The sequence below is a fragment of the Homo sapiens genome, chromosome 3 (genome assembly GCF_000001405.40).
Source record: "Homo sapiens chromosome 3, GRCh38.p14 Primary Assembly".
Taxonomy (NCBI): domain Eukaryota; kingdom Metazoa; phylum Chordata; class Mammalia; order Primates; family Hominidae; genus Homo; species Homo sapiens.
This window is the reverse complement of record NC_000003.12, coordinates 39,498,618-39,523,896: the sequence shown is the minus strand read 5'-3', so window position 1 is coordinate 39,523,896 and position 25,279 is coordinate 39,498,618. Positions and strand designations below refer to the sequence as shown.

Below are 25,279 nucleotides of genomic sequence, written 5' to 3'. Positions count from 1 at the left end.
TTAAGAAACTGAGGCACAGATGGGTTAAATGACTTTCCCAAACTCACACAGCTAGTGAGAAATAAAACCATGTCTCAGCCCAGTTTTTGTTACATAACTCCATGTCTTTTCCAAGATTGCAGTGTTCTTGCCCATTTTCCTGACACTTTCTTTGAGCCAATACTCTCAAAATGCCAACAACTGGAAGGTGTATTAATTTACTAAATTTGCTCTTATGGGAAGGTATTAAAATTAAGCAAAATAATCAAGATTTAGGCCATAAGTTAAGAAGAAATATCAAGAAATTGAGTGTATGTTTACAAATCAGATGATTTCTTTTAAAAATAAAAAAAAGAAATTATGAAAGAATTAAATTAGTGGGGAGATAAACCTTGTCATGGATCAGAAGAGTTGTTATGTTTAAAAAGTCAGTTCTTCATAAATTGATCTCCAGATCCAATGCAATTCTGATAGAAATTCCAACTGGCATTTTGGTAGAAATTTACAAGTTGATTCTACCATTTATATGGCAATGTCAATGATCAAGAATAATAAAAGAGCAATATTATAAAAGAAAAAATCAAGATATGTATCAGATTATACTGAGAGGCGAATATACTCCAATGAAATCTTACTTTATAAATATTAACTGTAGATAATCCTATATAGAAATACCCATAGAAATATTGCTCAGGGCAGAGGAAAAATGATTTGTAACATCCAAGGATTTTTGATTAGTTGATTGTTTTGTGAAAGCAATTTTTTGTTAGCTTAAGTAGGACCAGGCACCTTGATCATGAGAGTTACTCTGTGGAATAGTGGCAAGGGTTCTTGTGGAAGATCTGACATTGTGTCATCTACTTCTAGATACTCTGAATAATGAAGGCAGAAGACTGCAGTGCATCCAAAATTCACTGGTCACAGAGGAAGGACTCTGCCTATTTCTTTTGCTCTAAATGGATGGCATTAGTTTGCACTTGGTCCTAGGCTAGCACAGGGTCTCTGGCTGCAGCCCTTCAAGTGCTTTATTTCCCACTAGGAAGAAAGTCATATTTTTGCCTAAATCACAGATGAAATTATTGAATAACTGATTGAGCTGGAGGGCAAAACCAACCTGAAAGTTTTAGGACAGGGGTCAGCAACTTACTGCAAATCTTACAGTATACGGAACCTTTTGTGTAAAAGTTGATACTGTGTACATCTTAAGAAAGAGAATGAGATATTTACTTTGATAATAATGACTTTTCTTACTATTATAATTATCTTTTTTAAATGAATTACAAAAATGGGACATTTCTAGGCAAAGTCTGTTTGTTGTAGCAGAGTAGAAAGTAAGCCAAGTCCATACTCTGCCAAATCAATAGCATGATGGCTTAAAAAGTAGATCAGAGGGGGATTTAAGGCCATGGTTTCAAGACTGTTTCCATACATTCCAGAAAACAACAGTTGTCCATATCAAATAATTGGGGGGAGAAATGAGGGACAACATCAAGGTGTAAAGCCATGGTTCTTGCTCTTATGAGGTTTACATTCTAGTGGTGGAGACAAGTAATAATCAAGTACACAAATAAGTATAAGAGCAAATGCAAATAGTGAATAGTGCTATGAACATGTGAATAAGCAACTTTTTTTGTTTTACTGTATGAGCTCTATCTACATGCAAGCTTTATGCTAATTGCTTAATGTGTTTGTTTTTAATTTGTCTTCACTTGTAAAATGAAGCTTAGAGACCTTCATTCCCTTGTCCAAGATCACACAAGTAATAACCTTCAAACAGGAATTCCACTAGAGGGATGTCTGTTTCCAGGTTGCTTTCTCTGAACCACCTTACATACCACCTCTCCCAGTGATGGAGAAGCAATAGCTGCTGTGGTCAACTCCTATTTCTGGTGAGAATGTGAGAGCTAGCCTGATTCCATACCTTTAGTCCAGACCCACCCTCCTCCCATACCCACTCACCACCACAAGACCATCAACCAATTAAAATGAGCACTTGTCAACACAGGTTATGCGCAATGTACCTGTGATTCTTGGTATCAAGCCCCATGTGGGTGGAAGAGATAGTAGCATAAGAGGAGAAGACGGTATTATACACTTAGGTGTGCTCACCTGTCCTCTGAGGTAGTTGCATGAGTTTTGGCATCAAAAGTTATGGTTCGGACACTCTGCTTTTTAGTCGGACATTTTCATTTTTGAGTCTTTACATACTCAGTAAAACCCTAAATGACTTTATCTTTAATACTGTTTCATTTTTTACCCAGTCAGCAAATATTAACCCTGTTGGCCAGCAACACTTGTGATGAGTAGACTTGCCCATGAATTTAGGAGCAGACACTTTCATTTTTATCTTTTAAATATATTACAAATATAAAAGTGTTTAGTGCTGCAGGGTTCCATGAAAGGGGCTCCAAAAGAAAAAGCATTAAGAGTGAAGAGCAAAAGTTGGTTAGTCCCTTAAAAAACTTTAAACGGGGGCTCAGATTTTAAGACAAAATAAATTCTATATTCACATACACACACAAGCCTGATTTTTCCCCTGTATAAAAAATGTCCTGGTATAACAAAACTGGCTGTTGCATTCCCTGTATGAGAAAGTCACTATATAACATTGTTCTAAATTAGTTCTATCCTAATGGTGGCTTTAATGTTTAGAATATACAGCTGTCTGGCCAGGCATTGTGGCTCACACCTATAATCCCAGCACTTTGGGAGGCTGAGGCGGGAGGATTAACTTGAGGCCAGGAGTTCAAGGCGAACCTGGCTAACATGGTGAATCCCTGTCTCTACTAAAAATACAAAAAATTCGCTGGGTGTGGTGGCACACACCCATAATCCCAGCTCCTCGGGAGCTGAGGCATGAGAATTGCTTGAGCCTGGGAGGCAGAGGTTGTTGCAGTGAGCCGAGATTGTGCCACTGCACTCCAGCCTGAGTAACAGAGCAAGACTCTGTCAAAAAGAAAAAAAAAAAAGAATATAGAGCTGCCTTAAGAAGCAGCTTTATAAAGCCTTGTTGGGTGAGATATGTACACTAAAGTTTTTTCATTTTCACAGACAACTTGAGTTTTTCAAGTCAGAAGGGAGAAGAAATTAACGTGAATTGCCAGCCAAACCTCTTGCATGGGCAAAGACCATCCTGAGGTTTACTGTATCAGGAGCCATGACCTCCTGTCAGCATGATTTTTGAGCAAGGAGACATACGGAATTGAAGGGAGGAAACCCACCTTTCCCAAAACACAAGAAGCGGTAGAAAGAAGAAAGCTACAAAAAGTAAAAAGGGAAGACCAATCTCTTTTCCTCTGTCTCTCTCTTCTCTCTCTCTCTGTCTCTCTCTCTCTCTCTCTCATACACACACACACACATACACACACACACACACACACTCATGAACACATTTGGTACTTTGGTACCAGATGTTCCCTCCTCCTTCTCTGGACTGCAGAAATTCTCTTATTAGGACCCCAAGAGCTCACCAAAAAGAAACTTAGACCAGAAGAGGAAAAGTGTCACAAGAGAAGCTGTGTTCAAGTAGACTGAGGACTTTTGAAGACTTAAAAACAATGCAAGCAATAGTAAGTTAAAATTGTAGGTGAACACAAGTTAAGGAAGCAGATTCAGCAGTGATAGAACTTATCCAACATAATCTAATGTAACTGTGTCATCAGGCCATTTGGGAATTAGAGAGACTTGGAGACAGAATGCACTTGGCTATGGGTCAGCACACTTATCAGGGGTCATTGCTGGTGGCTTGATGGTGGGAAACTGCATAAGTCAGAGCAGAGCTGGTTTGGGAAAAATCAGAGTTAGCAGCCAGGGACAAGATCTGGAGAGAGAAAGCAGTGAAGAGGGTATAAAGTCCAGAGCAATAAGAATATGGAAAGGTTGTTAAGTAGCTCTGCTACAAATCTATAAACCAAGATCTTCTTGGTTTAAATTTAAGTTGTAAAAAAAAAAAAAAAAACAGATGTCATGATCAGAGATGTACGCATTGAGGTGAAGAAAGAGATGGAAGATAGGAGTTAGAAGAAGAGAAAGAGGTGGCAGTACAGATTGTTTGGAGGGGCATGGGGAGGCTGCAGTAAATAGAAGGCTGTGGTCTCTTTCTGCCCCTAACTGCTCCTGCCCCAGCCCCTACCTACTGAGGCAGTGAGCAAATCAGATAAGATCTCAAGTCTCAGAAAGAAGCTGCGGTTTAGGAAAATAATGCAGTTGTAGTAATGAATAAATATACTAGACAGCTGAAAGCACTTGATCTTTGAGTCAGAGGAGAAAACGCATAGAAAAGGAAATGAACTAGATGATTTGAAAATAAAGAGTCAACTGGCAGATTACCATGGTAAAAAGATGAAAAGTTAGGGTCATCAGACAATGCCAAAACCCACATTAACAAGAATTGGAAAAAAAAAAAAAAAAAAGATGCCATTTATAGTCTAAGCCAAATAATGAAGTGTCAGCAAGGCATCAGCTGGAAGAAAAAAATTTTAAACTTGGAAAATGATTTTTTAACTGCTGCCAGCCACCAAAGCTCTAGTTGAAAATAAATGCAAAATCTGGCAGCTGGTAGTAGAGATCCTTAATGATCTCCATGAGCAGAAAACTAAGGCTTTGCTAAAAGATCTGACTCAGAAAGCTCATAAGCCCCAAGAGAAAGAACAGAAGCTGTCAGCTACAGGAGAAAGGGATGTTCACAAAGAATTCAAGAAACGCAGGGTGAATTATAGTAAAAAGAGATTACGTAAAAATCTGTTGAATCTCCATGAGAACAAAAACAGGGCAGGATACCAGGCTTTTTCTTCTTCCTGCATCAAGATTTCTTCCTGGAGAGAATAGAGATGCTGCCTTCCTAAGACAAAAATTACAGGTAGCAAACCCAAAGATTGATGTACTTAAGAGATCAAAGAAATAAAATCAAATCCAGGAAGATCCACTAAATAACTTCCATCCATAAGAGGTCCTAGAAGCCAGCCTGGCTCCCATAGGATGCCCCTGTGAGTGCTGAGGTGTTCTAATCCCCACTATGCCATCCATCTGTACTTGTTAGGAAAGAGGTCTGCCTAGCAGTGAATTGGTTGTGAATGGACTTCCACCTTGGAAGAGAAGGATATATAAGGTGTAAAGAAAAACTTTACCCTTTGATCTGCATGTAAACATGATTGAATTAATAGTCAGAATGTCTATTGAGTCCCACTTTCTCTGAATGACTGCCCAACTCTCCTTGATGGTGGATGCAATAGGATTATCTCCATTGCATCATTAATCAAGTAGAACTGCCTGGAGGTAGCATGGGCCACCACCTGAGCCAGGGAAGTATTTTCAGTGTATTTCAGAGACACTGTAATATTGACCCTGGTATGGTTTCATTAATAGAGAATGGCCCAAGAGCTCTTTCTTTCTGCATGAAGGGTAGATTTGGTTAATGTCGATGTAAATAACTTCCCATCTTTATCAGAAATACGCATCATTAACTCATCACAGGAAGGACTTCCACCACCATCAGTCACCTTCTCAAACATGGACCCAGACTTTCTTCCTCACCCTTACTTCCTGGTGATTTTAAACCTCCTAACTAAAGGACCAACATCCCTGCTGAAGAAACTTAGGAAACTCACACTCTCTTGATCCAAGAGAAAACTTTCTTTCTAGACCCCAGTAACTTGGCATTATTTACCTTTCCCTCTACAAAATCCTTGCACCTTTTGGGTTCTAGGGAGGAGCCCACCAGCCTCTCCAGATACCACTACTGGGTCCCACAGATCCCCAGCCTGAAGTTGTGAATTGACTCTTAAGAGAGTGCATATGCTTCGAAATCCAATATGAATGTTGGTAATTAGATTTAATACTTTTTTAGAACTTAATTTTATTAAGAGATCTTTTTGAGCCAAATGATCAAATTATGATAGATAACTGATTTGCTATGAAGTAAGGCCACTACTTAAGCTGTAGCTTCCTGTTTTCTCCCCTCTCCTCAAACCTATTTTATGTTTACCAATGTCGTTTATATGTCAATGTACCTTATGCAACAGAAATTGATTTTAGTGCCATGTAAAATATAATACTTTTACATAAATTTGTTTAAAACTAAAAATATAGGAATAATTATCAGGACTGTTTCCTCATCTGTGTTCTTCTGCTCACCTGTACTTTGGATAAACCCAGTCAGTTGATCAAAGTCAAAGCACTGAACTTGATGGTAGTAAACTGTTGCCTAAGAGGAAATGAGTAGTCACTGAAATACCAGTCAATTAAACTCAAACCTATGATATCAAATAGTACACTCTTTAATTCAGTAAACCATTTAGAAAACCACTAACACAAGGATTCTATCAATATTTGTTGCATTCGTGAAAATGTAGTCAGACTCTTTTTGTTCCAGTGGAATCCTTTATCTATATGAAGTCAGAAGTCAACATAGACACTAAACATTACTTTTGTTGATGTGAAGGTGTGGCCTGGAGTCCTGCTGGCTCTACCTTCCTCTTATCTCATACAGTGGGATCTCCAAGTACCCCAGGGTACTCTAAACCAATCTCTGTTTAGAAAATTCTAGGCTGCCGCATCATGGTAGTAAGGTAAAGGTCATGGTTTCAGTGGCCATGGGGGTCATGACAACCTCTCTCATTTCCCATTTACAAACACAAAGCATCCTGTGATGTAAGGTGAATGCATAGTTGATGCTCAACAAGAAGAAGTTATTTTATCACTCCCCTTACCCAACCATCCCTGCAAGTGTATACCTCTACTACAATAGAAAGAGTGAGTATGCAAATTCTCTCCAAGTAACAACTGCACACCTGACCCTTGGGTCAACAGTATCATCTTTGCCCACTAAGGACACTTCCTTTTATTCAAGCAGAGATACTAAGTACCTGGTAATGGTGTTATTAGCTGGACAGAGACATGTGTGATGGAGTCAGGCAGGAAGCCCTCCCAGGGCCCCTCCAGCCCTGAGTTTCCACGTTCTCTGGTGTAAGCACAGCAGCCTAGATGGACAGGGAGCAAATTACTGTCTCAGAGTACAGGTCCATCTCCCTGTAATCTGTTGGAATTTTTACAGCTTCCCTTCATCAAAATTTCCTCATGAATCTTTATTTGCTGGGAAAATTAGACTCTGCATTTCTTTCTCCAACTCTTATTCCTTCCACCTGAAACCATATGAGCCTCAAGTTTAGATCTGGGATTTAGATCTAAATATGAAGTTGTAGGCAAAACTGTAGTGGCAAAATGTTATCTTGAATTTTAAATAAATGAATAAAAATATAAATTCATCTGGAGAAAGAATTATATAGGTCATTTCAAAGATGTGAGTTGAAATGATTTCTTTATAACTCTCTCTCCCATCCTCATGCCTCTGACCCCAACACCATCACCCACATTGTGAACAGGCCACCTCATCTCCTACTTTACAGAGGAAATCAAAACCACAGGCAGAAAATGCCTCAAGGTCCTGCTACTAAGTCTGCAAATCCACCAGAATCTATACTCTCCTTTTCTCCTTCCCTCTTTTCCAGTGAAAAGGCACCCCTGCTCCATGCCTGATCCTCTCATCTGAGCCTGATTTGGCCCCCTCAACTCCTCAGCTGCTGGCTCCATCAGTGATCCACTCCTCCTTCTTCACACACCCACTGTGCCACCGCCCTCCCCGCAGCACTTTCACATGCTCAGGTGCCTCCTCAGTAAGTGCAACACTCCAGCCCTTGCCCTACTCCTCTGCCTTCCTTCGTGGTCAAGCCTAGTGGAGAAAATTGCATCTACAATTGCAAATTTCTGTTCCTCGCCTCCCATTTACTTCACACAGAGAGTATCCTACACGGTCGCCAACAGTTCCTTGTTGCTAAAAACAACAGACACCTTTGACTTCTTAAAAATATCTGAACTTTTGAAAAAATATTCCTATAAAAAACAACAAACAAACATTCATTCCGTCAACAAGTGTTTATTGGTTCTTACTAGTGTCAGGAATGTGGGGGGAGGGGGAACTGTAGTAAGTAAACAGGTGTTGGCAATCATGGAGTTTACGTTAGGAGGGGAAAAGAGCCAAGCATTAAACAAGTAAATAAATGAATAGAATAGTTCCAGAGGGTGACAAGTGCTATGAAGACAACCAAACTTAGAGTGATCAAATAGAGTAACTATGGAAACAGCACCGAGTTTTCAAGGGAAGCACCTCTGAGACGATATTTGAGCAGAAGGCACCTGGCCAAGATCTTGGACCAGAGTATCACATGCGGAATGAAGAGCAAGAACAGAGTTCCAAGGTGGGCACAAGCACTGAGAATATATCACAACATACCATTTATACGCACAAAAAGAAAAAATAGAAAGAAGGCAAGAAAGTGTAGTCTTGCTGGGTAGGGAAAGAGCTTCTGAATCAAAAGCAGAGTGAACCAAGCCTGGAAGAACAATGAACCTTGTCCCCTGTGGGCTAGGGCATGGCCTCTCCTCCCTTCCACTGGCCTCCTAAGTAGAAAAGCGCTGGAAAGGTTGGGGAGGAGTGTGCAGAAGGATTCATTGCCTGCATCTTTTCACTCTTCAATCCCGACTTTGGGAGCCAATAAACAATGTAGCTAAGTTTGGGCCCAAAACAAGCCAGGAAGACTCCTAGAGTAATCCCAGCTGGAATTTGAATAGAGATGGATTCACTCCAACCCCTCTTCTCCCACCACCCCAACTCTGGGCTGAATAGGGAAAGCAGTCCAAAAGGGGCTCCTGCAAGGCCGTTGCTGAGGATACAGTGCAGCCCTAAGTCAAGGCCAGGCCCCTGAAGGGGGTGTGTCAGCATACAGTCATCTCATGATCAGCTTCAGTGGTCAGGCTCCTCAGGGACTTGGAGAAGTCCCGAGTATTTTTGTGTGAGAGAGAAAATGAGAGCCCATAGACATTCTCTGAAAGCTAAGTTTCCCAACATACACACACACACACACACACACACACACACACACACACACACACACACACGCACACACCAGTCCACAGGAGCACAAGGTGATCTAAGGATCCTCAACTTGACCCAGGGGAAAACTCCCTCCCCACAGCATGTGTTTGTGTGTAGGGGATGTGGTAGATCCTGGTGGAGTGAGGATCGGGGTTAGTTCCTATGGCCCTGACCAATAGCCTATACTAAAGATCAAAGTCCTCCATAAGAGTTTTGGGCTACAGATAGTGGGAGAAAAACAGAGAGAAGAGATGGGAAGTCAATGCCCAACCCTGTCCCATCATAATTGGGTTCAGACCCCTCACATCAGGAAATGGCCTCCTACACAGAGAGAGAAATCTTGGACTGCTTAACCTCCTATAACTCACCCCTTTCCACACTTAACTCTCTTCTCCCCCAAGGCAAAGCTCCTGTCCTATTTTTCCTGATCTCACTCCACCATCAGATGAAAATGTGGAGAGGCCAGCCAGGGAAAGCACTGGGGGGACCAGGCCTCAGACTTTCCCAGGAATTAGGGGGTTAGATGTGGAAATAGGAACTCTGAGCACCACTTCTGGTGGTGAAGTGCCATGAGGCCATGAGCCTGTGTCCCGAGGTGGGGTAGGGTCGGGGGGAAGCAGCCCTGTATCTAGGATCATTTGGGAGAGGAGCTGGGGGTAGGGCATTGTGGTTGAAGCCAGATAACATTCCCAAGGTCACACAATTCGAAAGCAGTCAATTCTAGAGTTGGGATAGTTCAGATGGGCTGAGCAAGGCTCAAAGGCAGTGCCTTCGAGGACTTGCTCTCACCCCAGCTGGGCCAGGAGGAGATGTTCAAAAAGCCTCATGTAAGGTTGGAGACAAGGGCCTGAGGAGTGGGAGAGAGCTGCTTTTCAGGCCTTTTCTCTCTGCTTCTGACATAATTCGTTGGCTACATCTGACACATGGATTTAGACAACTCCTACACTCTCTAGGGATTTCTTTGCATCTCTGGATCATATGGAAGCCTAATATCTTACTCAGAAAATAACTTGGATCTTCCCCAGAGCCAATTATGGCTCTGACTATGGGCTGGCACAGGGAACTAATTAAGGAAACCAAATGGCACAGAGAAAGAGAGAAACCCAGATAGAGATTAATTACAAAGGAGAAAGTCAAAAATTAAAAGTTGAGCTCAGCAACAGCATGCCAGGGATAGAAGGGAATATTTGGAGGACAACATGTGGGTTGGCACTTGAGCCACCCTGACCCTGAGCCATGAAAGACCCTGGAGGCCTGTGCATATCCTGGAGAAGAAAGGACTGCAGGTGAAACAAAAAGAACTGTGCATTGAGCTCTAGAGCCTGCGGGTGCTGCTGGAACCCCCTGACTGGAGTACAACACACAGAGATAGCCCTGCTCACCTCCAGGCAGGCTGCCCTGAGGCCCCCATGCCATGGGGACCATGAGCATCAGCAGTTGCCACATCAGCAGGTGTTTGCCCCTGCATAATATTTGAAGCCAGATAACTTCATCCAGGGGTAGATGGGTTGTGAAGCAATGAGTCCAGGAGCCGAGGTTGTTCATTCAGTTTAAACTCCTCCTTGGTCACTTCTTCTTTGGGGTTGGCCTGATCTTCCTTTTCAATCTGGTTTACAAAGAGAAAAAGAAAAACACATGACATAGGTAGGTGATGTATACTCTCTCTCTTTCTCTGTGTTCAGTTAGTATAATTGTGGATTTTGAGACTACCTTTGAGGTTATTCTGCAAAATCCTTCTCTTTAATTTCTTAATTCTGGTAGTCTCTGGCCAAAAATAATATGATATTTTTTTCTTGGCCCGAGCCTAGGAAAGATATTCTTTAAGAGTTCTATTTTATGTATGATAATTATTGCTTTTCTGGTTAATCATTGTAGATAATTTTGAAACATAGAAAAACACAAAGGAAATTAAAGTACACCCACTCCTGGAAAAAATATTTTACTACTTATAGACGTAAAGATGTGAATGTACATACATATACACATAGAGTATATGCACTTATAAAATTGTGAACATACTGACATGTTTCCACTTTGATGAGGGAACAAATCGTGTTCAAGAAGGAGATAAACAACATCCAATAAAGACATTAGACATTATAAATATGTGGCCCAGACAAGCATTGCCTGCAAGCTTACCCAACTGAAATGTTGTGTGATATCAGCTTTAATTTATTTAGATAGCAGAACTCTATGTGACTGCCTTTGAAATGAGGCTATGTCAAATAGTTTCAGTGCATCATCAAAGTTCTTAGTTTAAAAAACAAATACACAAAAAACAAAATGCATGCATTAGGAATGTCACATAATTTTATTCTAGAGACAAAACTTATGAGGATCACAGCTTTTGTGTAATTTGGAAAGTTTTTAATATTAGAAATAAAATTTATACTCAGATATTAGCAATACCATTTTTAAAATCCCAAATGATGTATCACGCTAGCAAAGCTGATACCCTTCAAACTGGATTGAGGATACCAGAAAAAAATAAATGCAGAAATATGTTATTAAAACTTGTAGAGTGAATTGTAGCCTGAAAGGTTGGAACACATCCCTTGAAATTTGAGGAAGGAATCTCTTTACACTTTCTGGATTGCCTGTATGACCTCCAGACATGTGGCAGCCTGCATGTTTTCGAACTCCCCATAGATACTGCTGAATATAAAACCCAGGTGCTGAGACTAGCACGGAGGCCCACAGATCCCAGGCATCACCCTCAGCAAGTATCTCTGCAATCAGCCACTGTGGCATCCTAGGTAATATGAGCATCTAATTTTCTAATTGGCATTTTACTAGCAATAGCAGCCACATTGATGGTAATGGGGATGACCAGTTTATATAGCAACAGCCCTGAACTCCCAATCAACCAGGGAAGGCAATTGAGTTGGAGATAATATGCTAGTAGATAGGGTTAAGTGACACAATGTATTCATTAAATAATTGTTCCAATAATATCCACTTACCTAGTCCTATAATATGATGAACTAATGAAATAGATAATACCCTCATTTTACAGATGGGAAAAATGTGACTTAGAATAAGTACTTAAGACACAGGAAATCCACAGGCAGCAGAGCTCAGATTCAAACCTTTTCAATTCATGCCTTTTTTTTTCCATTTTAATTTCCAATTGTTGGAATGATGCCAGAGCCCTTACCCTTCTCACTGTGCCAGACTGACTGCAAGTGTATTTATAGGGCTCATTCAGTCAACATCATCAGCCAGGCCCTGAGTGAGGCCCTGGGGGGATGAGTGTAAGATTCTCTGACCCTGACTTATGCACACTCCATCCAGCAAGGAAGATGGACAAGTAAGTGATGATCAGCAAAGATGTCCAAATTATAGCAGTGGAAGTATCAAGGGAGCTCACAGAAAGGGCGACCATCTGCTCAGCAAGAAGTGTGAAGGCTCTTAAGTCAGAGGGCTATGCCAGGACCCCTTATCACTGCCAATAATGATGACTCTTTAGACTCTGCTTCCACAAAATACCCCACATCAATCACCCTGACAAACCCAAAACAGGAAAATAACAGGTCACTAGTACACAAAAGTCATGTCCTATATAAAATGCTCTAGTCATCGTATTGTAGCACAGCTTTGAAAGGTTAAATTATAAAGACTGCCCACATAGCTGAATAGAGGAAACAGATAATTCAGGGCCATGTAGGGTTTGAGAAGAAAGTGCCATAGTCTTTGGTCCACACATGGACAACTACCACATGACTGTTCTTCAAGATGTTAACTCCCTCCAAGACTGAGATTGTCCCCAAATGTGAACTGAAATTGAATCCACCTTGTAAATCCAATCCCTAGAGCTTTGGTAACCATCTCTCATAACCATTAAGATGACATTAGGCAATTTTGAACAATTACCACCATAGTAATTCTAATAGTATTTAGGACCTCTGTGATTTTTTACATCCAAAGAATGCTCGTGCCAATTTTCTATTTTGATGATACAGTACATCAGTCAATAGGCCATGAGGAAAGTTGAGCCATATCTTGAAATAAGGATATAAAGAAAGCACAGGAATAAACTAACAACCTAACCTAAGCATCTTGTGTTATTAGGCTTGGGCCTTCAGGCTGTAATCCCTTGTAATAAGCCAGAGAGCCAATTTGGCAAGAATTTAATCTTGTTAAAATATTTCTCTAAAAATTAAATGTTTTGAACAAAATAGCAGTTCGAAACATATACAAAAAATAGGCATACAGATTGAAAAGAAAAATATCAAACCGTCTCTATTCAAAGACAACATAATTTGCAGTATAGAAAACCCTAGAGTCTACCACAAAAAATCTAGAATAGGTAAGTTTAGCAAAATCACAGGATACATGATCAATATACAAAATTCACTTATATTTTTGTATACTAGCAATGAACAATTAGAAATCAAAATTGAAAAAGAATGCTATTTTTGATATCACCAAAAAGCATAAAATCTTAGGTACAAACCAAACAAAATATGTGCAAGATCTATGTACTAGAAACTACAAAACAAAAAAAGACCTAAATAAATAGAGAGATATACCATGTTCATGAATTATCAGACTCAGTATTGTTATAGTTTTCCCCAAATTGATTTATAAGGTCAACACAGCTCCTTTCAAAATCCTACCATAATATATTGTAGAATCTGACACAATGAAAATTTATATGGAAAAGTAAAAAAACTCGAATAATTTTTTACCAGAACAATTTTTTTAAATGAAGAACAATGTTGGAGAATTCACACTAACTGATTTCAATACTTACTACTAAGCTACAGTAATAAAGTATGGCTTTGGTGAAAGGAAAGATATATAAATTAATAGAAAAAATAGAAAGTCTAGAAATAAACCCATAAATATATGATCAACTGATTTTTGGCCAAATTGCAAAGGTAATTCAGTGGAGAAACTTTTCAACAAATGATGTTGAAATAATTACAAAAAAATTGAGCCATATGCAAACCATATACAAAAAAATTGAACCTCAATTCATACGTCACACCATTACAAAAAATTAACTTAAAATGGATAATACTGTAAAAGTAAAACCTAGAATTTAAAATTTCTACAAGAAAATATCTTTGTGACCTTGAATTAGAAAAAGATTTCTTAAATACAACACAAAAAGTATGACCCTGCTGGGGGTCCCTGGGGAACAGTGTAGACCTGTACATCAGTATCTCATCTGTATCTCATCAGAGAGGTGAAGAAACTGGGGTATCAAAAATAAAAAATAATAATTTTTTATTTTTAAAGACCAGTGTGATAGTAAAATTTGATAAATTTGACTTTGTCAAAACTTTGGCTCTTCACAAAACACTGTGAATAAAATAAAAAGGCAAGTCACAGACCTGGAGAAAATGCTTGCAAAACATATTGTTTATAAATGTCTTGTATCTAGAATATTTTTAGACCCCTCAAAATACAATAATAAAACAATCCGATTTTTATATGTAGAAGATTTAAGCAGAGATTTCACCAAATAAGTGTCTTTAGTGGATTATCTTTATACTCATTAAAAGATGCTCAACTTCACTAGTCATTAGGAAAATGCAAAATTAAAACTACAATGAATACCATTACATACCTATCAGAATGAATAAAATTTTTAAAGCTGATAGTACCAAGTGTTAACAATAAGCCCAGGTTACTGGTAGGAATGAAAAATGTTACAACTTCTTTGGAAAATAATTTAGCTGTTTCTTAGAAGTTTAAACAAATAACTACCATATTACCCAGCATTACCAGTCCCAATTATTTACCCAATAGAAAGGAAAACTTATGTTCACATAATGTTCACAGCTTTATTCATAATCACCAAAACTGGAAACAAACATCTTTCAACCGGTGAGTAGCAAACTGTGGCATGTGAATCCATATATATATATATATACACACACACACACAAACACTCTCACACACATATGTGCACGTATGTATATACATATATGCACATACATATAAACATACACATATATAGAGAGAGACTATATGGATGCATATGTATATATACTATATACATATATACTGTATAGGGATGCCTGTATATATAGTTGTGTTCATCCAAGGCTGGGGTTTTCCCAGGGGTATAAGACAGATATTCAGAAGGCAAGGGATTCTAGGGTATTTGTGAAAGAGATTAAAATGTTGGGGCCAGGCGCGGTGGCTTATGCCTGTAATCCCAGCACTTTGAAAGTCCGAGGTGGGCAGATCATGAGGTCAGGAGTTCAAGACCAGCCTGACCAACATAGTGAAAGCCCTCTCTACTAAAAATACAAAAATTAGCCAGGCATGGTGGCGCATGCCTGTAATCCCAGCTACTCAGGAGGCTGAGGCAGGAGAATCACTTGAACCCAGAAGGCAGAGGTTGCAGTGAGCCGAGATCATGCCATTGCACTCCAGCCTGGGCAACAGAGTGAGACTCCGTCTCAAAAAAAAAAAAAAAATGCAACAATATGGTTCAAAAGCACTATGTTAAGTAAAAGAAGCCAGGCTCAAAAGGCTATAATATTACATAATTCCACTTATATGGAATCTTAGAAAAGGCAAAAGTTAGGGACAGAAGATAGGTCAGTGGTTACTATGGGCTGGGGAGTTGACTGCATAGGTGAAATATAAGGAAATTTTGAAGGGTAATGAAAATATTCTATATCTTACTTGTGGCAGTAGTCACAGGACTATGTGCGTAGAAATGTATGCCAAAAGAGTTTAATTTTACCACATGTAAATTATACTTCAGTAAGCCTGATACATATGAAGTATGTGTGTGAGCATATAAACTACACATGCATACATGACACTTTTGAGGTACATGCTTCCTTTTTTGTCTGAATGCATGCAATTGAACTATAACTGCCCAAAGGAAACTGCTTAGTGATAGGATAAACACAATTCTGCTTATACCCAGCTACTATCGTCCTGCTGTGTGCTGTTCTCCAGTGATGCTTAGCTGCCCAAAAACAAACATGGTGAAGCCAGTTAGCTGGGTTCATCAAAGGCTGGGGTTTTCCCAGGGGTGTAAGACAAATATTCAGAAGGCAGGGGATTCTAGGGTATTTGTGAACGACATTAAAATGTTGGGATATCATTTCTAATTTGGAAAGCGAGGAAAGTGGAGTCTGATAGATGGAGATAAAAATGGAGGAGTCAGAACACTGGAGGCACATGGTAAAGTTTAAGAACAGTTGCTGTGAGGGCATTTGGCAAACAAGTTGGAAGAGAAGCAGAGTGTGGATGTGGAGTTGTGTGATTCCACTGATAATTTCAGAGGTGGCAATCTGTTTCCTTTCATTGGAGAAGGAGCTCCTTAAGAACAAATGATTTATATACAGCTCTGTTGAGCTCAGCTCAGCCAGCCCTAACTACTGCCTAGAAGCCTGGTCTCTAACATTCCAGGTGTACCCTAACCTTCTCAAACTTCTAGCTCGCTCATTCTCGGGCATGACCTCTATCTTAATGCCTATTAATGGGTCTCTCTCTACTTTGCACAATCTAACAGCTTTTCTTGTTCCCATCAAAGGCCAATCCCTCCATATGTGCTATGGAGGAGACTTATTTTATCAACTACCTCCATTCCCTCTACTTTGTTTCTAGCTTGATCTCAATCCTGCACCCCTTCCCATCAGAAAGTCAAATTGGCCAGCATTTATATGCAGGGGAAAATTGGAAGTTACAATGTGCTTAGGTTTCCAACTTGGGGGATTAGTTGGACAGCTGTGTTATTTGCTGAGATAGCAAACAAAAAGAAGAACAAGTTTTGTAGGAAAGAAATCAAGTGTAGACAGATTAGGTTTTCCAACATCAAATTGATCTGCTGAGTGAATAGGCTCACATATTAATGTCAATGATGAATTAAGGTTTAGAAGTCATCACACGTGAGTCATAATTAAAACCACAAGAGAAGGCAAAATCATATAAGCAGAGAGCTCAGTAGGGAACCCTAGGGGACCTCAAGGTTGAGCAATTGGCAGAAAAGGAAGCACTCACAAGAAGATGAAGAAGGAAAGTTCCTGCAGAGAAAAGGAAGAAGAGAGTCACAGAAACCAAGAGAACAGAGAGTTTAAAGACTGAATGAGAGAACAGCCCAACAAATCCAACAGAAAGCACCACTGATATACAGATTGGGTTCAGCACTCATTAGGAAAAGCAGCATGAAGGCCACAGGTAACCATTAGAGCAAACACTACTGGTGCCTTGCCCATAACCCCTTGCCCTTACCACTCTTGTGCTCAGCCCCACTTCCAGGTGCCAGCACTTGCCTTTCTTTTCCTGAGGGCTTTTATCTTGCTGCTGCAGTCCACTTTGCCATCTCCTTAACAAGCTAGACGTGTCAAAGAATGAATGCCCCCATCCTTGAAGCAGCGTTGGCTGACTAATGTCTGACGAGAACTGGTGTATAAATATCCCAGTTCCTCCACCCCTCTGGTAAGATAACTGACGCACATGTCTACACTGTTCCCCAGAGGTCCTCGGCAGGACTAAGTCCCAGGAACCCACGGTGAGAATTGGTTAGATAATGCTTTTTTTTAATTGGCTCTTTCCCTTCCTTATCTTGCTTCCCACATTCCTCCAGTGTCCCCTTCACCTCCCAAATAAACTTCTTGCCCTTGCATTGTTACTTCTGGAGGAATCTGCACAAGAGGAATTCCAGGGGCGGGGGTGCTAAGGGAAGAAATTAGAACACAATGAATTGAAGAGCAAATGGGATTTGAGGAAGTAAAGATGACGAGTTTACACTATTCTTTTTAAAATTTGTCTAAGGTAGAGAGAAAAGAGGATAGGGCCAGACGTGAACAAACAGTCAATATGAGAGAGCAAAACACGTCAAAATGCTAATGAGAAAGAGACAAGATACAAAGGCTGAAGTGGTTAGGGGGGTTGCTAAGTTGTACAGCAAGACCTCAAAGGAGATAAGAGGTTGGAAGATCACAGGGAGGGGTGGGGGACTGGCCTCATCAGCGAATGAATGCTTCAACCTCTGAGGCTGAGGGGAAGGATTTAAAGACAGATGCATATTCTGATGAACGTGTGGGGGCTGGTGGAGCCAGGACAGTCTGGGGAGTGGCTGGGGTTCATCCATTTGTGGTGGCACCAACCCACCAGGCTATAAAGCTTTTCCCAAACTGCACTCAGCAGCTCTATGCACACATGACCATCCTCAGCAGCTGGAAAACCAATGCAGGCAGGTTGTGAGCTTGATCTAGAATCAGGGATTTATAAAACGAGTGTTGAAGGAGAATGAGAGACAATTGGGTTAAGGCTATCAGAGAAGGCGTAGTTAACCATGTGGTCTGGACCAGGTAAGGACCTGTGACCAGGCAGAGGCTGTCACACTCCAAAACAACACACAGCTCCCAGGACTGGAAGCCTCTCTGGCTAACCTAGGCCTCTGCAAAAGCATCTGTTCTGCATAAGCATTGTGCTATAGGGACCACCAGGATGTATAAAGGACTGCTCCCAGATAGGAAAGAGTATATGCCACAGATAGGGCAAAATTCAAGAGTTCAGTCACCCAAACTAATAAAAGCAATAATGCAACCTGAGACACAGGCAGAACAAGAGCCTGAACAGAAAGCAAAGAGCTCAGGCCTTTTCTCTAGCTCTGCTGTTACCTGGAAAATCATAGTCTTCCAGGCTGCTTGTGTGCAGGGCTCAATTTAATAATATAAAACATGCTGTGCAGAAAAAAATGAGTCAAAGGCACACACAGCACTTCCCAATATATGTGACTGATTGACTCCAAATTAACCACCCACAGCCATGGTGGTTTTCAAAGAACCACAGATCCCCAGCTCCCAAAAGCAGAACACTGAAACCAAAAGAGGCCCAGGACATACCTGTTAAACCCAAAGGCAAGGACAACCTTGTGAAATCCTAAAATCTTAGAACTGGGAGGACAGAATAAACTAAGAGGGAGATGCCACGGTTTCCTCCTATCAAATATTATGAATGCTACCATGTTTAATCAGGATGCTGGAAATCGTACAATCAGTTTCTAAGATTAAATCATTCTCTGGTTTTTGAGAAGACCTATCCAAGGGAGTTATTAAGAATCCAATTAGGCCTTTGCCAAAATTATTTAACCTCTAAAAGCAATACCTCAGAAATAGCACTGTTTCAGAAAGCAAGTTGGCTTCAGAAAATCTTTTTTACCCTTTCTTCATGTGCAAGTTAGTAGCTCTGCTTAAGAGCAAATATTTCCCATCACATCAACCTGCCTCCCACTCCTTTGATTCAAAATAGTCAATCAGTATCAATAAAAGGAATAGACAATATGATGAAGAAGTGGCTCCAATATATTACCTGAAGACCTTTGGGAATCTAAGAAGGAAAAATGAATATCTCAAATAGGACTCAAGACAGTGCATAAGTGAAGTCAGGGGACATTACGAATGAAGACTTTCAGATCCTCTGTTCCCAGGTAAGGGACAATGGCTGAGGAGGTAATAACGGCCTGTGGAGGCACCTTCTGATACCCACTGAAATTAGTTAACTGAGGGAGTCAAAGCACACCAACACTAGGGTATCTCCTGAATTTAGGTGAATACACTGATCCAGGTTAGGTCCAGACAAATCTGTGGGTATGGTGAAGTTTGCTTTCATTGTCTTCTAACTCCTTTCCATGTCCTGATTGAACTCCAGCCACCCAAAGCCACCACTATAGGTGGCATGCCTTTTATACAATTAATTTCCTCTGTTTCATACATTTTCTAACTACTTCCATATATCAATACTTACCTGTCCTAGGACCCTTCTACTCAGGGTCCTTAAGAGGGACTCAGTTAATGACTAGGTAACCTGTCATACAACTTGCTATTAAAGTTTTAGTGACTAGTTACTTCCTTCACAAATTAAACTTGCCTAATCTTGTGCCTTTTTAATGCTTTCACTTTTGGTACCATAAATTTATCACTCTCCACATTTCTTTACCTCACATCACAAATAATCTGGATTATTCATTTATGGATTGTTTAGGTCAGCATTGCTCATTGTGTAGTCTGCGTACTGTCTACATAACTGTACCTTTGCGGGGTGAATGCTTACTAAAAAGGCACATACCCAGGCCTTAGTGGTGACCCAAAAATCACATTTTCTAGGGGCATCTTTAACATTCTTCCCCATTGACTCTTCTTCCTACTAAATCAGTAAACATCATGTGATACCTACACATAGTAGATGCTACACAAGTGCTGGGTATCAGAGTAGATATGAGAATCTCAAATACAATTAACACCCACTACTAACTTATAAACAGATTCAGTTCCAAATAGTAAAAGGTCTAAAAAGTTGGCATGCTGATATACCTTCAGAACAGTAAAATAAATAAATAAATAAATAAAAAATTGGCCAGGCATGTGTGTATTGGGGCAAGAATATAGAGGAAATCTCTGTACCTTCCCCTTAATTTTGCTGTGAACCTAAAACTGCTCAAAAAAAAAAAAAAATAGCCTACAGAGCCAATAACTCCCTGCTTATGGTTCTCATGGTCCCATGTACATGCATATTATGAAAACATTAGGGCACTGATCCCTACACGATGACACCTATTCTCTTATTTGGTCCTGGTAAATCTCAAACAACACGGCTTCCTCACTGCCATATTCCCTTCCCCCAGCACATCAAATGGAACTTTACAGGTATGCAATAGGATTTGTTGAGTAAGTGAATGAGTGAATGAATGAATGGTATTGCCACTGAGATTGACATCAGATGAAGTGTGTTGGGAGATGGATGGGTCCAATGGATTACCCTCTCCTTTTACTTATACGGATATTGATTAGAGTCACCATTCGTTATCTCCCTGAGGCATAGGCATTGAGGAACTCATTTATTCAATCTGTTACCATGGTCAATAATCTCAATTGATAGATTAACAACTTCCAGTCCTATTAGACAACGGAAGCAATGGCCACAGCCACCTGAAGTATGCACCAATAGCACCTAGGAGGAAACCAGAAGCCACACTAGGTATTTCAAACAGAGGGGATTTAATGGAGGGAGCTGATTACACAGGTTGGGTAATAAGGCTGAAGAGGGCCATGGAGACAGCCCGGTGTTAGTAAACACAGGAAGCAACTACTAACCTTAGGGCTGGGGAACAAAAGGGAAGAGATGGTGTTACCAGAACCTAGAAGCTTTGACGGGGGACCCCCCACGGCTGGCGCCTGGCCCTCTGAGGGGGCTGCTGCGCGGCTGTTGCTTGGACTTCTGAGGGGGACGCTGCTTGGCTGGCGGTGGTCGGACCTCTGGGCGGGGACGTGGCTGACGCTCAGACCTCGGAGGGGACCGTGGCTGACGCTCAGACCTCGGAGGGGACCGTGGCTGACGCTCAGACCTCGGAGGGGACCGTGGCTGACGCTCAGACCTCGGAGGGGACCGTGGCTTGGCTGGCGCTCTGACCACCGCGGGGGGCGCAGCTGGCTGTTGCTTGGGCCTCTGAGGGGACTTGGCACGGCGGCTGGTTCTGAGAGGGCCAAAAGAAGCTGGAGGCGGGAGCCAGGGCTCTCCTCTGCTGCTTAAGCGACGCTGGCAGGAGCTGGAAACAGGTAGGAAGGCCCTGCTCCCCCACCCACCTTCCAGTCTCCCTGGAGTGCCTTCCGGTGTCGGAGCCTAACCCGGAGCCGACTAGGGGGAAGAGTGGGGTGCGGAGCGGGAGGGGCGTGCTGGGAGCCGAGACCACGCGCTGTGCCCAACTGGTGCCGCGGGGCTGGGCGGCCGCTTACCTGGTCTTCTGGCAGGCGCAGCAGATCCAGTCCTCCTCTTTCTTCTGGTAGAAGCAGCCGCTCTTACAGATGCTGTATTTCCGATCCACTATCTCCTTCTTGGAATTGAGGAAGGTGAACGGCGGGCAGCAGTGTATGCTGAAGTGTTCGGAGTACTTCTGGTTTTTGGAGAGTCTGGGACCCTCCTTGGCCGGTTTCTGACTCATCTCACTGGAAATCGCCGATGCAAGGAGACAGGAGGAGACATAAACGCACATCAGGAAAGGGAGCCCTCTACTCTGGAAGCCCCCTGCTACTCCCATAATCCAAGGTAACATTCAGGGGGGCCCTACAGAGCAACACCCTGGAAGACCAACTTCCCCCCAACTCTGTGGAAAGGAACTCAACTAACAGTTCATTAATTTTCATTTGTGTATTTTTAAAAATCGTGTTTTTAAGGAGAAAAAGAAACATGGGCTCTTGTTTTCCTTATGTTTTAGAGACCCATGTAAGATAGGAAAACATTTAAAACCAAACATATCCTTGACTAAATAATATTCTAGAGTTAGGAAAAGCCTTTTCTCTAAAAAGCAAAATAAAAAATTTATTATTATTTATTATTAAAACAATCATCATTCATGCAATAAAATACTACACAAGGAAAAAGAACAAACTGCTGACCTGCTGACATACATCAACACATTTTGATCTCACAGACATACCATTGAACAAAAGAAGTCAGACACAAGAAAACAAGCTGTGTGTACAGGAGGTTCAAGAACAGGCAAAACTAATCGATGGTGCTAGAAATCAGAGCATAGTTATATTTGGAGAAGGTGGGTTCCGACTCAGAAGGGGCAACAGGGGAGCTTGCTGGAGACTGAAAACAGTCCTTCTAGGAATGTGACAGATGCAGAAATAGTCCTACCTAACACTGCAAAACACCGAAGCCCACAGGGGACTTACGTGACTATCAATCAACAGGAATCAACTTAGTTAATGGGCATAAACTGGATACTGAGAATGTCTCTGCTCTCAACAAACTCAGGGTCAGGTTGGAGATGCATATGTGCAGTATGTAATTACAAAACACTGTTATGTTGGCCAATACAAGTGTGTACAAAGCATGGAAAAAGGATGGATTCCTTGAAGACAGAACCTATAATCTGGGTTTTTAAGGATGAGTACAGAACAATAACTAAATAACTTTGAGGGGATATTTTAATTTTTTTGTCTGTTGGTGTGGTTGTCTTCTACTACAAATAGAAATGACAGCTGAGAAGCAGGTAGAATGCAGTTACAAATACGTTGTTTTTGCACCTCTGTTTGTGATCATCAAAATTGTGTGTCACATCTGTTATGTATGTTAAAAATATTCTTTCCCAATGTTTCACTTGATTTTATCATGCAAAAATAGTTTTATGTAATTAAGTATCTTAGATCTTATTAAAGGTTTTGTATTTTTCCCAGAAAGTTTTCCCCATTCTGTCAGCTTTTAACATACTCATGATGCCCCATTTTAAAAGAAAATCCTCTCTGGATCCTGCTCCCGTGTCTTTTTGCTTCCCTATTACCCTCCTCTTTTGTATAGGTAAAGTTCTTGAAAAGGTATTAATATTTTTTCCCTCCATCTTTACATCTTCCACTCACTCACTCATCAGTGCACCCCACTGTGGCTCCTGGCCCTTTCCTCCCAAGGAAAAATGACTCTACATAGCTCCCCACAGACCTCCATGCTGCTAAACCAATTGCCTTCATATTTGGTCTCTCTCCATCTAAAGTCTTTCCTTTCCTGTGACACCACATTCTCCTAGATCTCCTCCTCTATCTCTAGTCTCTCCTTGTCCATTTCCCTTATAGGCTCATCTGCTTTTGGCAAATCTTTCATTTTTTTAACACTAAACTTTTAATGTTAGAGTTATTTAAGGTGTAATAAATACTAAATAATAAATGAAGTTACCTTCACCCATTTAATTTAACATTTACTATACACTTTGGTTTTGCCTGGCACAGTGCTCAGTTCACATACTGGACACAAAGCTAAATCATGCTGAGTCCAGTCCTCAAGAAACTTATCCACCAGTGGGAGATACAGGCAAGTAAGTGATTAGAATGCACATAATGTGCTAATGGCCAGAAAAACTTCATTTACTGAGACCAAATAAGTACAAGTCACTGAGATGAGGAAGTGGGTAGAGCAGATAAACATCCTGCTCACAATGAGCTCACCTTGTAGGTAGAGGAATGTCCACAGACATCAGTGAGTGTCATACAAGGCCAGCATGCTCTGCAACATGAGAATGTGCTGGTGCAATGGCATGAAAAGTCCACAGAAGAGAGGGCAATATGTTGGGCTAGAGAACAAGGTGAAACTTCATGGGCAGAGGCATTTCATCTGGCCAAAGATGAGGGCTTGGGAATGACTGATACCTAAGCAGATACACAGTGAATTGCATTACCCCCGAGAGCCCTCATCCTATCTGCATTGCAGAATTGGAAGACATAATAGAGCCAGGACACAGGCAATGAGGCAGGTGAAGTGTCTAGCCCATGTGACTGGGAACACAGTCATGCCATCAGCTAATCAGAGGTCGAAGTAGATGAGAAGGAGGGAGATCATCTCATGGGTCTGAGACACAATGAGTTTAAAGAGCCAAGGACATCCATGAAGAAACAGGCATTCTAAACTCAGGACCTAAAGCTCTCATTTTGAGAGCGCTTCACCTCATGGAAGGGGGCACAACGTCGGGCACGGATGAGATACCTGTGAACTCAGCGAGGAGTCAGTCAAGGGAAGGCTTCCAGGAGGAGGCGTGGACCTGCCTTCAAGCTGCAGGAAGAAGGAGTAATGGGTATTCAGAAAGGTAGGATGAGTAGCAGTCTCCTAGGAGAGAAATTGCTGAATTTTCAAAAGGAGATGATCAGATATATTCAAAGGAGCCCTTTACCCAGACAGGTATGTATAGACCAATGAGAAGCTGCAGCTGACTTATAGGGTCAGATTCATTGCAAAGACCCTAAACGTCTGCTAAGCCCTTCCCCAAGTCCTACATAGGTCGCGAAGTTCAGCTAGAGTTTCTCCTCCCATGGGAAATAATGAAGTGAAACACTTTAGGATTAACCTTCAGGAGTAATTTCTTCAGGTGCCCAGCACATGGAGACTGTTACTCAACTCTCCACAGGCAACCCAGGCATTCCCAATTCCTCTGGCCTTCTAGGGTCACCTTTTCCCAAACGGCTCAGGCACCCGTCACAAATAACAGAAAATTTAGCTCTTACTCCAACTGTTTGAGAAATAACTAGTATGTGATAAGAAGGAGATTTGAAGCCCACTGTGACTCTGAATTCCTTCCCTAATTGAATTCTCAAATCCCACTCACTGCTCCAGCTGATGTAATGCCTGGGTCACTGTATGCCCATCTGCACCCCCGCCCAGTCATTTCTTCCCCCAGCACTTCAGGGGAAAATTGTTTCTTACTCCATGACAACTTCCCTCACTCCCTGTCTCCCCCGACCATGTCCGGCAGGGGGCAGCATCACCTCTAGTTATCCATCGATGCATGGTCCTGAAGGAAAAAGTAATTCTCTTCCCTGGAAGAACCTCGCCATTCCTAACACAACCACCTGAAAATGCATCCAACTTTCAAAATAATGTTTTCTCCCTCCTTTAGTAAAATGT

General features: G+C 41.3%; 1 protein-coding gene across 8 annotated transcripts in view, besides 1 other annotated feature; it reads right to left on the bottom strand.

The window, feature by feature from the left end:
• MOBP (myelin associated oligodendrocyte basic protein) overlaps positions 1-25,279 on the bottom strand; it is a 61,818-nt gene that overhangs the window by 5,601 nt on the left and 30,938 nt on the right. For 2 of the 8 annotated variants that reach the window (NM_001393704.1, NM_001278323.2), the window contains 2 exons: positions 21,622-21,831; positions 20,870-21,362 (listed from right to left, as the gene is read on the bottom strand). In NM_001393704.1, coding sequence (NP_001380633.1) covers positions 21,017-21,362; positions 21,622-21,827 — 552 coding nt within the window. In that variant the 5' untranslated portion in view covers positions 21,828-21,831 and the 3' untranslated portion in view covers positions 20,870-21,016. Of the gene's footprint in view, positions 1-7,893; positions 10,515-20,869; positions 21,435-21,621; positions 21,832-25,279 lie in introns of those variants that run through there. The other 6 variants (NR_103505.2, NR_103504.2, NM_001278322.2 and 3 more) reach the window with 6 other exon arrangements.
• Positions 17,506-18,005: an enhancer, noted in NCBI's record as "NANOG-H3K4me1 hESC enhancer chr3:39547383-39547882 (GRCh37/hg19 assembly coordinates)". NCBI's record gives its function as "activates a minimal SCP1, AML or CMV promoter by ChIP-STARR-seq in primed H9 embryonic stem cells {active_cell/tissue: H9 hESC(primed)}" and the evidence as "EXISTENCE:reporter gene assay evidence [ECO:0000049][PMID:30033119]".